This window comes from Homo sapiens, chromosome 9 (assembly GCF_000001405.40).
Source record: "Homo sapiens chromosome 9, GRCh38.p14 Primary Assembly".
NCBI classification, from domain to species: Eukaryota; Metazoa; Chordata; class Mammalia; order Primates; family Hominidae; genus Homo; species Homo sapiens.
Genome location: NC_000009.12, coordinates 3,823,795 through 3,838,296, shown reverse-complemented (window position 1 = coordinate 3,838,296; position 14,502 = coordinate 3,823,795). Strand labels below are relative to the sequence as shown.

At 40.6% G+C, this 14,502-nt stretch overlaps 1 protein-coding gene across 12 annotated transcripts in view; it reads left to right on the top strand.

Annotated features, from left to right (window-relative positions):
- Nucleotides 1-14,170, top strand: part of GLIS3 (GLIS family zinc finger 3) — a 666,339-nt gene extending 652,169 nt beyond the window's left edge. For all 12 annotated transcript variants that reach the window (XM_047422890.1, XM_011517763.3, NM_001438912.1 and 9 more), the window contains 2 exons: nucleotides 8,805-8,987; nucleotides 9,889-14,170. In XM_047422890.1, the coding sequence (XP_047278846.1) occupies nucleotides 8,805-8,987; nucleotides 9,889-10,025 (320 nt within the window). In that variant the 3' untranslated portion in view covers nucleotides 10,026-14,170. The remainder of the gene's footprint in view (nucleotides 1-8,804; nucleotides 8,988-9,888) is intronic.

The following is a 14,502-nucleotide window of genomic DNA, read 5'->3' as shown; positions in this document are numbered from 1 at the left end:
TAAAAGGGCTGTATTTTAATTCTTATTAAAGTAACTAAGATTTCCTTACATTTATTCAGTCAACAAATACATATTGAATGCTTACTACATGCCAGGTACTAGTCTTAGTGCTATGGATACAATAATTAACAAACTGGACAAGGTGTCTGCCTTCATGGAATACATATTTTGGTGGGGAAGGCATATAATACAGAGATACATGCCCACCCATTTAATAGACTATTTCAGAGCAGTTTTGGGTTCACAGAAAAATGTAGTGGAAAGTGCAGGGAGTTCCCACACACCCTCCTCCCCCCACCCCCTCCACACACAATCTCTCCCACTACCAACATACCACACCAGAGTGGTGCCTTTGTTACAATCAATAAACCTACAATGACACATCAGTTTCACTCAAAGTCCACAGCTGATATTAGGGGTCACTCTTGTACAGCCTATGAGTTTTAACGAATGTATAATGGCATCTATCCACCATGGTAGCATCATACGGAATAGCTTCGCTACCTCTGTGCTCGTCCTTCCCTCCCCCCAACCTGTGGAAACCACGGACTTATACTGTCTCTATAATTTTGCCTTTTCCAGAATGTTGTATAGTTGGAGTCATGCAGCATGTAGCCTTTTCGGATTGGCTTCTTTCACTCAGCAATATGCATTTAAATTGAAATTCCCTCCGTGTCTTTTCATGGCTTAATAGGTCATTTCTTTTTAGTGCTGAATAATATTCCATTGCCTGCATGTACTGCAGTTTATTTATTCGTTTGCCTACTGAAGGAAATCTCGGTTGCTTCCAAATTTTGGCAGTGATGAATAATGCTACTATAAACATACATGTACAGGGATTTGTATGGACATAAGTTTTCCAACCCTTTGGGTAAATATAAGAGGACACAATTGCTGAATCCTATGGTAAGCATATGTTTAGTTTTGCAAGATACTGCCAACCTGTCTTCTAAAGTGGCTGTACCATTTTGCAGTGAAAGAGAGTTCCCATTGCTCCACATCCTTGCCAGCATTTGGTGTTATCACTGGTTTCAGTTTTCACCATTATAATAGGTGTGTAACCAAAGATGCTCCAATTCGTCTTAGTTAGTAGTATGAAGGGCCTTATGTGGTGCAGGTCAGTGCTTCTTGAAAATAGCCACCTTTTCAGACCTGTCGTAGGTCAGTGCCTTTGGTTACAATGGATGTGACATATGAGACTTGGTGACCCTGAAGTGGATTGAGCAACAATATCCTTATTCTGTGGGAATATTCCAACTTGTAAAGCAGCCCAGAGGCATAGGGTGAATTCTTTTCCAGGTGACCAGAACTTCTAGACTTGCACATTAGGCTGGGGTCCTCCAGATCCAGGATTGTTGTCCTTCATTTGCTCTGGCTTAACTAACAAGCAGAATGCTGAGATTGTCCTTTAACATAGGGTCACAGAGAGGAAGAAGAAGACGAACAGCAGAAGTATGGAAGGGGATGGTGGTGAGCGGTGGTGAGATGTTGGCAGTTGGCTGTGGAAGTGTGGAGCCACTAGTATTTGGGGGAAACAGCAACCCTGGTGTGGCTGTCAGCATATGGCTCTCGTCTTGCTGGGTCTTAGGGGATACCACCACTGTCCCTAAACCAAGGAGCGAGTTGCCCTAGGGGCTTCACTGGTTTTGTACCATCTTTTCCTCTTTTCTTTCCCTGGACTTGGTTTATGAGAAGTATTCAAAGGTGGTAGGCCAAGGGCCCCAAAAGAGTAGGGGAATCCACAAAGAGCCATAGAGTGCTGGAAAAGAAGAAATCTGAAGGCAAAGGAGAGTGGGGTCATGCATCTTCTGTGTCCCTGTCCTTGGGGTCCTGGTTTGAGTCCACCCATTCATCACTTATGCTTCTACATGTCCCTGCATATGCAGCCACCATATGACTGGGGCCAAAATCGCTACACTTCCTAAAGTAGTAACCCACAAAATTATAGTCTCTGCGGAAAAATAATTAGAGCTGTAAAGCTCATAAATATACATCCTTCCTTCCACTTGGCTAGCAAACAGCCATACGACCAAGAAACTGAGGGGCTGCCAATTCTGCCTCTGCCGCTGATATCTGCTTATTCTTCTACCCAGGCACAAACTGCTTAGCACCAACGGCAGGAAATCTGCTCTGCCAGGGCTGGTTCTCAGCAGAGCTGTGGGGTGGCCTCCTGACTATACCTGCCATCAGCAGACAGGGCCAAACAAAGGGAACCACAGTCAAAACTTCCTTATTTGTTCCTTTTCATTCTTCCTATCTTGAATGCATTCCAGAAAAGAGAATTACATCTCTATGTATCCCGTAAAGAAAATTTTCTATTGTCATATGTAGTATGAAATTATGTTACTTGATTTCTCATTTATATGTTTGTCTTTCTTTCTCACTAAAATGCAGGCTCCAAAAAGGCATGGAGTGTGATTTATTTACCACTATATCCCCAACACTTGAATAAGTGCTTAGTGAATAGTTGTCAAGTAAATGAAAGCATAGAAATTGAAATGCTTATGTTATTAGAAGAATAGAAAAAGAAAAAAGTAAAAGTAACAGTTATAGGGTGTGAACTGTGTGTCAGGCACATGCCCAGCACTTTACATTGGATGGTCTCTGTTAATCCTCTTTAGTCTTTGTGATTACAAGTAGATACTGTTAACACCCTCATTTTGCTAAATTACAATGATTGCAGCAAAGGCAAGCACACACATTAGTCACTGTTTCTTCTGAAAAGTCAAACAATAGATGACTCCTGAGATTTGGGTAGTGGCTGAAAAACTATAGCACTTAGCCTGGATCCCTGAATTGATACAGTCTGCATCACATGGAGTTAAAGGGTTTTCCCATCTGACATATCAAGGGGTCTTGGAACACCCAGCATTATTTCCAAGGAGTCTCCTAGAGGATCCTGCCAAGCCTGACTAGGTCACACTCTGGAGGGGGAAATTCTGGGGAACCTTCCTGATGTTTTTGAGGGGTTCCTATTGTCATATGTGGACCTTCTGGACCTATGAGTTGTCATCATGGTCCAGTCTGAGCCTACTGCAGGGAAGGGGCTGTCTCGATTCTGAGTGTTGTCCATGTAGCACTTTTCCTAGTGCCCACAGTTTGGTGGTGGTTCCCCAGCCTCACTGTAAAGGAAAACAAGCATTTTGTTTTGCAAGGCCATCTGCTGCATAAACAAACCTACTAAGTACACAGATCATGACTTATCCCTTTGACGAAGTGTAGGCTGATGGTATTAATCACCATCCATGTTCCTCAACAGTTGGGTAGAGCCTTCTGTGTTGACACTCCACCATCATATGGTAGGATAAATGGAGACCCACAAGGGCACATCGCCACCCTGGTGCACATGGAGAGCTAGGCCTGCAATCTGAAGTGAAGAAAGTGGGTGACACATTTCTTTCTTCTGCTGCTGCTTCAGAAGGGAACATAGTACCTCTAGGAGGGTTGGAGTGCCCTGGCAGTTTAGCCTAAAACATTCCTCAGCTTCTTGAGGGGTTGGGAGTTGAGGGACCATTCTTTACTTATTAATGTATTTATATTCTGGTTCCTTCCACAAAGATTGAAGTGGCAAATTTGCAAGGAAAAGATAGATGTATTAAAAAATCTAATATACTTTCTATCTTGAAGGCCAGGAGCCTAAGATTATTCATGTTGCTTTATTTAAACTTGGGGTGGGTCATGTGTTTTTCTTTCTAGAATTTAATTTGAAATACTCTTGAAACAAAGTTGGCTAGACCTGGGAATTCAGATTGCCCTAGAGCTGTGCTGTCAGGTACAATAGCCATGAGTGGCTATTTAAATTTGAATTAATTAAAATTCAATAAAATTTAAAAGTCAGTTCTTCAGTCACACTAGCCGCATTTCAAAGATGTAATAACCACATGTAGCTACTGTATTGGACAGCACAGATAAAGAGCATTTTCATCATCATGGAAAGTTCTCTTGGACAGCATGGCCCTAGAGGGTATCCTTCTATTATCATATTTACTCATGTAATTCCTTTCTCCTCTAACCTTCCCCACTCCCTTTCTAGTTTGGAAACGAAATCCAAAGCTTTATGGGGCTGCTTTATCATCATTAGCAAAAGGGACCGTGAACTCTTTAACCTGTCATCACAGAGACACTAGTGACTCCGTGACTAAAAGAAAAAGAAAAAGCCTTCTAAGAATGAATGAATGTGAAGAAACTCATGCATGATATTAGAGGCAAAAACAGAAGATAAATGTATAAAACGTTTCAGTTTTGTGGGTATATAGCTGGCCATTTCTGAATCATGGAAATAAAAAATAATTTTTGCCTTCTTTGTTTATACTAGTCTGCATTTTCTAGTTTATAATTAGCCTCAAATATTCTTATAATTAGAACAAGTTTGTTTTTAGGAGGGGGAAAAAAAACTTCCCAAAACTGAGAGAAGGAGGAATGATTCTCCTTGACCTTTGGGAACTGCAGTTTAGGTGGAATACATTTATCTGCAAGTTCCTCCACTCCTCCATTCTTGAAGGCAAAATAACTTTTAAAGTAGAGGGGTGATTCTGAAATTAAATGTATAATAACAACTAACATTTATTGCCAACTTACATTTATATGTATGTTCTTATGCTACTATAAATGCATGTGTTCTCACTCCAGCTGTGTTATCAATCCTCAAAGACAAGGATGATGTCTTACATTTCTTTGGTTTCAGCAATAGCACCCTAACCAGCACTTGATAGCCACTATTGACTGACGGACAGATTGGCTGACCTTGCCACCACTCTCAGGTTTTACGCCCACAAAATGTGTTAACATCTTGCCTCATTTTGCTTTGGGTCCGAGAAGTAGTGTTATTTCCAAATTTGCTATGTGAAATCCAACCGCTGGAATGCAGGAGCCATTCATCAGAAAATGAGTTAGGCCTTCTCTGGATTTGTGTGTGTGGCAAGACCCTAACGGAATTTTTTAAAAAGTGTTGGTTTGTGAAAATAGTGCTGGGAAGAGAATATATGAAAACCATCCACACCAGTGTATTTGGCATCTCTAGTAACTGGCTACTTGGAGAGATTTAATAAAGAGGATTTTCTTTTCTTGAGTTGGCTGTTAGAGTGATAAAACATGCTTGTGGGGCCATTCTGGTTTTGACAGTTTCCTGTGTCAGCCAAGACACCCACAGGCAGGAATTAGAGTCTACTCTGTCCTCCTCGCTCAGATCCAGACTAGGAGATGAAGCCCAGAATGTTGGATTTGATATTTAACTTTTCTAGGTGTATTTTGCCACATCACAAACCTTTTATACTCTCATATATCACAACACTTGAATATAGACTAAAGCATTTGACACTTCTGTTCCCTCTTAGTAAAATGAGAGAAGATAGGAAAGGGTGAATAAATTGGTTTTCATGAAAGGCCAGTGAAAGTCTCTATCATTGTCCCCGAATGATTAATGTCCCTATTTGTGAAGTTGTGGGAGTTTAGTGAAAAAATCTTTTCTTGGAAGGTTGATATTACGCTGAGGAGTGCTATCAGGAAATTTATGGGTGACAAATATGAGGAGAGTTTGCATAAAGATATAGATAGCAAATATTGTCTATTTTGCTCAGGAGAGATTACATTCTAGTAGACCAACCATGGCGGTTTATGCTAACGTTTTCCTCCTGATGATACTGCCATATTTGCCTGTGCCTGGCCTCCAGGTATCAAAGTCAAGATCAGTCCAAGGAACTACTGAAACTATACATCTCCACATTCCAGGTTCCCTCAAACCACTCAGACATGTTGCTGTTTGGAGCCCCCAATAGGGTAAATGAAGAAATTAGTCTGTGTGTCAATTAGTGCAGGATTGAGGAGCCATGAGCAAGAAGAGGTATACAGCTCAGGTCTTCAAAAGGCCAAAACTGTTGAAGATTCCACCTAGGAACAGCGGGTATGCCACATACCTGCTGCTTTGTCCTTTCTTACATTGGTTATTGTTAAATAACTTACTTGTTCTTTTTGGAAATTTTATTTTCCTCAATAAACTTTTATTTTTAAGAAATACAGTCATTATAAAATAATTTTATTTTTTATTTAGCAAACATATATACTATGTAATTTATATTATTAAATTATATATTATATAAATGCTAATTATAAAATTGTATAATATGTAAGTATTAACTCATTTAATCTTTATAACGCAGTATGATGTAATTACTATTATTAACCTGATTTTACAAATTGGAAAACTGAGGCACCAAGAAGCTAAGTAATTTGCCAAGACTACACAGTTGGTAAGTAGTTGAGCTAGGATTTGAACCCCAGGATCCAGAGTACTTGCTCTTCACTATTGCTAAAATTTAGAAAAAATATACAGGCAAAAAAAAAATACCCAAAGACAACTATAGATATGGTAACTTGCCATCTTTATTCTGTAACATAGGCATCCATACAACTGATCCTAGGCTTTGTATTCAATTTTGTATCATGCTTTTTGAAACATGAACCTTATAATGGTCTTTCCATGTTGTTAAAAGCTTATTATAAATATTGTTTTAATACCTATTTAAAATTCCCATCACATAAATGTACCACTGTTTGCTTAGACATTCTCTTATGGTTGGCCATTTTGGCTCTTCAGTTTTCTGTTTTGATCACTAGCGCTGCAATCTCTGTCCCTGTGCAGAATTTCTTAATGTTCTTCAGAATATATTTTCAGGATACTTTATCAGAAGTGTATTTCCTTAATCCAATAGTCTGAACACTTTTAGGGTTCTAGATACAGGTTGTCAAACTGTTTTCCAAAAGGCTTGTACTCTCTTGCAATGTCTACAACATTACATAGAAATGCCTTCTTCATTCACACTTCAGTGTTGAGAATGATTTTTAGGAATCTTTGCCAATGTGATAGGTAGAATGTGACATTTTATCATTGTTTTGATTTGTATTTCTTTGTGGGCTTGAGAGTTTACAGTTTGCTCATATTGGATGATCAATTATATGAGTATTTATGAGTGGTCTGTTTGGGTTCTTTGCCTGCCTGTCTATTGAAACCATGCCTTTGGGCATCAAAAGGGAAAAAGACAATAGCTTTCCATTCTTTCTTCTTCTGGCTTGACGTGGAATTTCCTTAGGTATTTTCCTAGTCTATACTAATAACAAGCATTTAATCTTCTTCCAAACCGTATGTGGATTTTTCTTTTGATTCTATATAAAGTGCACTCTAGTCTGCTTATAAAGGATATTATTTTGTTTTCTACTATGAATATGCCCTGTCCATAAATCTGCATTTGATCTATCTTGGATGATAGACTCCTAGAGGGCCAGTATGTATCTTTATGGACGGTTAAGACATTCTTTGGCAATATTCATAACAACCATAGAATAGGCCTCCCAGTGTCCCAGCAAGGGTGATCTGAGCAGTTACACAGGCTACATTGTGGGTCCTAATGGGAAATGAGAAGGGTTGAGAGCATAGTAGGTTGGATGTATCAGTTCACCCTGGTTTTACTTAAAGAGAGCTAAGAAGAAACTTAAATAGCACCTTCCCTCTCTTTTGATAGGTGGTTCATTTCTTTAATAAGGGATGAAGCCTTCCAATCTCAAGAAGAGGCAGTTCTAGTAGAGGAAGGCACACAGGAATAAGGGTCCAAAGTCCATGGGTTTGTTCTGCATTCTCCATTATTTAGTGTTTGTGGAAGAAATCCTGGGGTACTTCCTCTATTAATCCCTTTTTTTCCATCAAAACCAGAATAGTGATATCAATAATAACTGACACTTATAAAGTGCTTTAAAACGTTAGAGATGGACTTCCTTATCCAATGACTCACTTAATCTTCACAATAGCCCAGTGAAGTACACAATGACATTCACATTTTACGGTTGAGGAGACAGACACAAGGAAATGTAGAGAGTTAACAGCAGAGCCACAATGCTCCCTCCAATAATGTACGGAACTAAGATTTCATTATTATATTTTCAGAAGCATATTATACTCCAAGAAAATAATCTGTTGACTTAAATGTATTATGAGGCAAGGAGAAAGAAGAAAAAAGTAAGCCATCATGAAAGGAGTGGAGGATCATAGAGAAGAACCACATGGGACCCCAAGGAAAACTACATTGAATGGAAAAAAAATTGAAAGGAATAGATGAAATAAGATTATCAAAAGGTTGATGATTATTTTCAAATATTACTCTTTTCTCATATTTTTTCTTTTTTGGAGTTTTGTGTTGTATTTTCTAACATTTTCATAACATTATTCACTTCCAGTTTTTCCATTTACTGCAAAGATCAACAATAGAAATAGTTAAGTATATCCAACTATGGAACACTGTCTACCTAGCCAGGATAATAAGATCTAAATGTGCATGTATTTCTCTATTGGAAAGACAGATAGATGGATGCATTTTTAAGCGGGCCTTTTTAAGAGCATTCTGCAAGATTTTAACCAGTGTGAAAACAGAAGAAAATATAGGATAAAGGAAGTTAAAGAAGATGCATTTAAATGCCGACGGGAGAGTCTAGGGTAGGAACCTCCCCTGAAGGTCAGGCCTTGAATGTCCAGGACTCTTCAGAGAGTCTAGGGAAGGTAAGAAGCCTTCCCACTTCAGATACTAAAGCACATAATAAAAACATTACACACTAACAAGCTTGGAAATTCCTCTAAGGTAGAAGAGCTTCAGCCCAACAGTGCATTCCAAATGTTTGCTTGGAAGATTCTACAGGTGGCCTTAAGAGTTAAAGGCATTTGTCTTAGGAAGCCAGGCTGAGTGAGGTTCTAGCTGGGTTGGAATGATCTGTGGAACTTGTGCCCAAAGGAACTTGTGCTCAATGCCATGCTTGCGTTTCAGGATTTTATGGGCAGCTGCAGAAGTTCTGTCCCCCACACTACCCCGATTCCCAGAGAATTGTGCCGCCTGTCAGCTCCTGCAGTGTGGTGCCTTCGTTTGAGGACTGCCTAGTCCCTACATCCATGGGCCAGGCCAGTTTTGATGTTTTCCACAGAGCCTTCTCGACTCACTCGGGCATTACAGGTGTGTTGGTTGTCTGTGACTTAGAAAATCCTGTCAACTGACAGGAGAGACCAGGTGGGCTGCCCGTGACCGACCTGGGCTGGACGTGACCAAGCACATGACCGCATCAAATCCTGTTGAACGACCCCTGAAATGGCTCTCATCTCCACCTTCCCCTCCAGCCCTCCTTCAGCCCCTCTTCTTCCACCACCCTGGTGCAGGAGCCATCATGTCTCTCCCAGACTATGGCCATAACCTTCCAGTAAGTCTCCCTGACCTGATTCCTCATCTTTACCATTCTGCCCTCCATACTACCATGAACATTGCCTCCCCAAAATGAAGGATAAAATATGCCTCTTTTCTGCTCAAATATATTAAATAGTTTCCAATTGCCTAGAGAATAAATTCGACTCTCCAGCATGGCATTCAAAGCCCCCATAAGTTAGGCCTGATCCAGCTCTGCACACCTGCCCACACATATTTTTCCCTACATGCTCTTCACCTGAGCTTTGCCAGCACCCTTGACCCCACATGCCTCTCCCTCTCTGTCTTTGCTCTTTGTTTCCTCCTTCTGGAATGTTCTTTCCCTATTTCTTCATCTGTGAGAATTCCATTCTCTTTCATGACTCAACCTTAACACCAGCTCCTTTTTGAGGCCACCCCCAGCCTTCCCTAGAACACTTTTCTTTTACTTCTTCTCAGCCTGTCTTTTGTGTGGTCATATTTTAGCCAGCTGCCTGCAAGTCAGCCTCTTCCCTCACTAAGGTCGCTGGAAACAGAGACTCACTATAGGGCCCAGGCTGGCATGGTTGCCTCCTTAGCCCCCAGTCCTCACTTGGTGAGCTGCATTACTGTAGTGCATTTCCAGTGGGCGTGGCATGGGGCAGGAGTTACTGACTTAACTGCGTTCTTTCTCTTCCAGTGTATGATTTACCTTCAAGTTCCTCGAGCCTCTTTGGGGAGTCTCTCCGCAGCGGGGCTGAAGATGCTACCTTCTTGCAGATCAGCACCGTGGACCGCTGTCCTAGCCAGCTCTCCTCTGTCTACACCGAAGGCTAAAAGCTCTCTTGGCCACTCCTGCACACCCAGGACCTTGATGTTGCTTGCCACCTTTTGTTTTCGTACTCTCACAGACTGCTTGAGGAAGGATGTCAGCCCAATCAGCGGGCCCTGCAGAGTTACTGATGTTCTTTCAGAAGGCAGGACTGAATGGCAGAGCTAGCTTTGCAGGAATCATTACAGTTGCTCCTTTTTCTCTCTGGTTTTCCTGGACTATGTGACCAGGAGGACTGTCTTTTCAAAGGGAATTTAGAGCCTCACTCTCCTGGATACCTGTTACTTCCTGGCTGTCAACCCTTAAAGGACCCCAGTGAAATGATGTGCATATGAAAATGTAGTTTGGGGATGACTCTACCTGAAAACTCCAAACAGGGAAAAAGACCTCAATTACGAGAGGCATAGTGACCTGCCTCACCTAATCCTCACCCTTGCTGCTCCTGATGCAAAGCCAGGCACAACAAGGGAAATCCATGTCCAAAGCATAGTGTGGTCTCAACTCTTAGAAACTCCCTGGGTTTCCCTTTTCTCTTAGCCACATGCTAACCAGTTGCTTCTCAGTGTTTCTCTTCAATAGAAAAATAAGGTTTTATATGCCAGCAGCCTATCCTTGTTTTTGCATTTTAAAGACTTAGTTATTTATACGTATTTTAAAATGAAAAAAAAATGTAAAGGTCTGTGCTTTGGATGGAAATCATTATTATTGTAATCACCCCAGCTATAGACATTTTGCACAGCTGTGGTTCTGCCTGGCCCCACCTCTAGCATGTTAGTTTTGCAGTTAGCAAAGGTTACCTGAGGGAAATGGAGTGGGCACCTCCCGCACCAACAGTCCTGTAGCTGGAACCTTCCTGAGTTGACTGTTTAGTAACTCCACCTCAAAGACTGTGTTCAAAGAAAAATGTTGTTTGACTGGTTTACCCATTGCCTCCACTCTGGTGCTGCACCCAGAGAAGTGCCAGATGTGAGAACTGGGACAGACTGAGTCATGTGCCAGCTTCCCTTGGAAAACCAAACCTAGTGATACTTGACTTCCAGTGCTCAGATTTTACTAACGTTTTTCAGGATATCCACTCATCTGTCTGTCTCTTCCCTACACTTCTCTCCACCCTCTTTTTGCATCCCTCTTACCCTCTTCCTGACTGTGGTTCATATATCCCCACCAGCCGCCATTGTCTGATCATCTTGGGAAGGTAGAGGTGACAGTTCTCGAAAAGTCTACAGAAAGAGGCAATTCTTTTTCTGAGTTCCAGTTTGAAGGCCTGGAATTTTCACATAGCACTTGGTCGAAAATATCAAGCCTAAATAGGAAGTCATTTTCTGTGACACCTCTACATAGCTATTACAGATCCTAAGTCCTAGGGCATCAGCTATAAAAATTGGCCAGTCCCAAAGACACAGTAAGTTCTAACATTCTGGTACTATCATATTTCAAGTATTTTTTCTCACTTTTTAAAAATGTTTTTCTGAACAAAAGTGAAACAATGCCATTTATCAAACTGAGATCATTACAATCTTCAACAAGACAACTAAAACAGCTTGATGTTAGATGGGATTCTGTGACAGTTTGTATACTGACAGGTCCTTCCAGTCTCCCTCCACAGTCCCACAAGCGGAAGTATTCTACCTGATTCCAGAGTTCATTCCAACATGCAGTAGAATGAGGTGAATGAAGAACCAAGTGTGGGTTTTGTTTTCACAGTGCACTTGGTCAATCTAGTTTCTCTGAGTAGTGGGCTGTATTCTAAGAAAAGCTTTCACGTAGACGTCAAAGTCTGCAAAAGAGATGAGTTAGCCACTTTAAAAAACCTGCTCTGCTTTACAAAAGATGCACACCAGGCTTCCTTTACAAGTGAACTCCAAGGCTGCTTGTAAAGTACCACCCTTCCTGCAGACTTTGTGGGTCGTGTCACTTGGCCTAAACAAGTGGCCTAACATATGCATGCTCACAGCTAGTAGCATCCCTCATGCGTCCTTTGTCATACTCTGGAAAGAAAAAAACTCTGCTATCTTCAGAGAAACCATCTATTCATACTTAAATATGGAAGCCTTTACAAGGAACTCAAAATACATTTCATTTCATTTGTACAATGAGAAAAAAGATGAAAAGGCAAGGTTGTTATTGCAGTTGACATTGTCAGCCCTGCCTTTTGGCTTTATGTAATTTAAAATAGAAAGGGGGAAGGAGGACAAGACAGAAGCTCAACTTTAGAAACCATGGACATCACCTCCCTCTTTGAGAGGAGCTGCTTGTGAACCAGGCTCCAGTCTTCCTGTGGCCTCTCACAGTAACCCTGCCCCTTTCTTACCTCACAGGGGCAAGAGGGACTCTAAAGAGGGCGTAAGCAATAGAGGCACCTGCAGCCCTCCTTCCTCAGCAGGAAATCAATGTGGAGCCCCAGAGGGACATTTTATCTCAGAGAGAGCATGCTGGCCACAGGACCCAGTGCAGCCCTGCTTCCCGCACCGTGGGTCTTTCCTGATAGCTGCAGGCTTGAGATTGCAGCCTCAGGATAGGACACGTTCAGATGCCTTCCAGACTACACACACTATGCTTAGATTCGAGAGTCTTTCCTGACCTTAAAATTTGTCCCTTGCTTACTTTCACACTGCAGAAGATTTATATATATATTCATCATTATTTTTGCAGCAGTACAAGTGGAAACTTCAAAAAAATCATTCCCTTTCATGTCCTGGTCTTTTTAAGTCTTGATATGTAACCATTTTCATAAATGTCCAAACAGAGATTGTCATTCCCCTTAAAAACAGAAACAAAACACAAAACTAGTGCTTGTGAAAACACACAGCGCAAAGACAATTATCCTATTGCATTAAAAAAAAAATCAGTCTGCCTAGAGACATTTCATTGGCTGCATTGTCTTAATTCCCTAACGAAACTGCATCAAAATGTCAGTTGTAATTTAGCCTCTGATCAGCTGTTAAATATTATTTAAATATTTACAGGTCCTGTGGGGTATCTCCCATTACCCATGTCGCCCTCAAATTACATAAGCGATCATAAAATAAGAAGAAAAAAAAAGGTCTTTAGTAGATCACAGCAGAGTTACCACTGATAAGAGTGTTGGCTTTGTTCAGTTGTTTCTAAATTACCAGCCGTCAAGCACAGTAGCCCCTAAAACCAATTTTGAGCAAGGATAAATTCAACTCCCTCATCTGAGAACCTTGACTTTCCAGTTGCCTTGAAGTATTGGGAATAGTAACTGTACATTTTCAATTTAATTATTTGGTATTTTATTTGACTGTCTTGGCCATGTCATTTTATGGAAGCATTTTTAAATAGCACTTTTTGTTAGTGGTGTGGAATTTCTGCGGTTATTATTTTTTTTTTTTTTTGCAACAGATGAAGCAAAAAAAAAAAAGCACTCATTGGAGAAATAGTGAGTGTAAAAAGAGATTTATTTTGTACAGACAGCAAAGTATCCTGTGTAATGTTGCTGACATAAAGCACTTTGGGGGAAAAAAGTGGAAATCTGTTTTCCATAAATCACACAGACTCTTGTACATAGTTATATACACTCACGTAGAGAAATGAACTGCATATATCATACTGGATATGGGGCCGATTTTACTCTAGAGGCACATCTGGTGCTTATTGTCATAAATCTTTTAAAGAATTAGGTACACTTTTTTCTATTAATATGTATAGTTTTGTGATTTGTCACAGTTATGTTTCATATAATCATAAGTTATTTTGTCTTGTTCATGAAGTCCTTTTTTTATGTCAAAAGTAAAATGAAGGGATTGTGCACTTGGTACAGAATAAAACTGGAAATAGAGAAGACGCCCTCCTGCCTAAAATCCTCCTTCAGCCTGTCGGTTTAAAACACAATGGCAACCATCATTGTTTGTTTGTTTGTTTTTTTGTTTTGTTTTACCATCAGCCTCTTACATACTGGGAATGGTAATTATAATTAAAGGCAGATGATGCGGGAGGGAATGTTCAAGTCCAGCTTTAAAATGCTGCATTGCTTTGGGCCAGAGCTGTAGCCTGGATTTAATTATAGATATGAGGAGGAAATGGCAGTAAAAATGAATGTCTCCCTGAGTCCTTTACATGTTGGGAGTGTCCATAAATAAAACATGAAGTTTTATTTCATCAGATTTAATTAAAGCTTTTATACATGTTTTATTGGTTATTCTATTAATCTGCTTCACAAACCGGATAAATGTGTGCTAGGATTTGGGGTTTATTTGTGCCTTTTCAAAGTAGCGCTACATCATGCTTCAGAAATGCCTCTAGTGCTTGGTACTCCCAGTGCTGGGGTTTCAGCAAGCTGACAGTTGGAGGAGGGGGTCTTTTCAGCCCTGTTTTCCCAAACCCTTCAGAGAAAGACACAAGCATCAGCTTCCCATGATCTGATGCCCTGATCATATAATCTGATTCCCTGGAGAAAGGGGCAGGTACCATTTCCCTGGTTTCCTCATCCTGTCCACTGTGCACGCTTTAGAATACCACCTG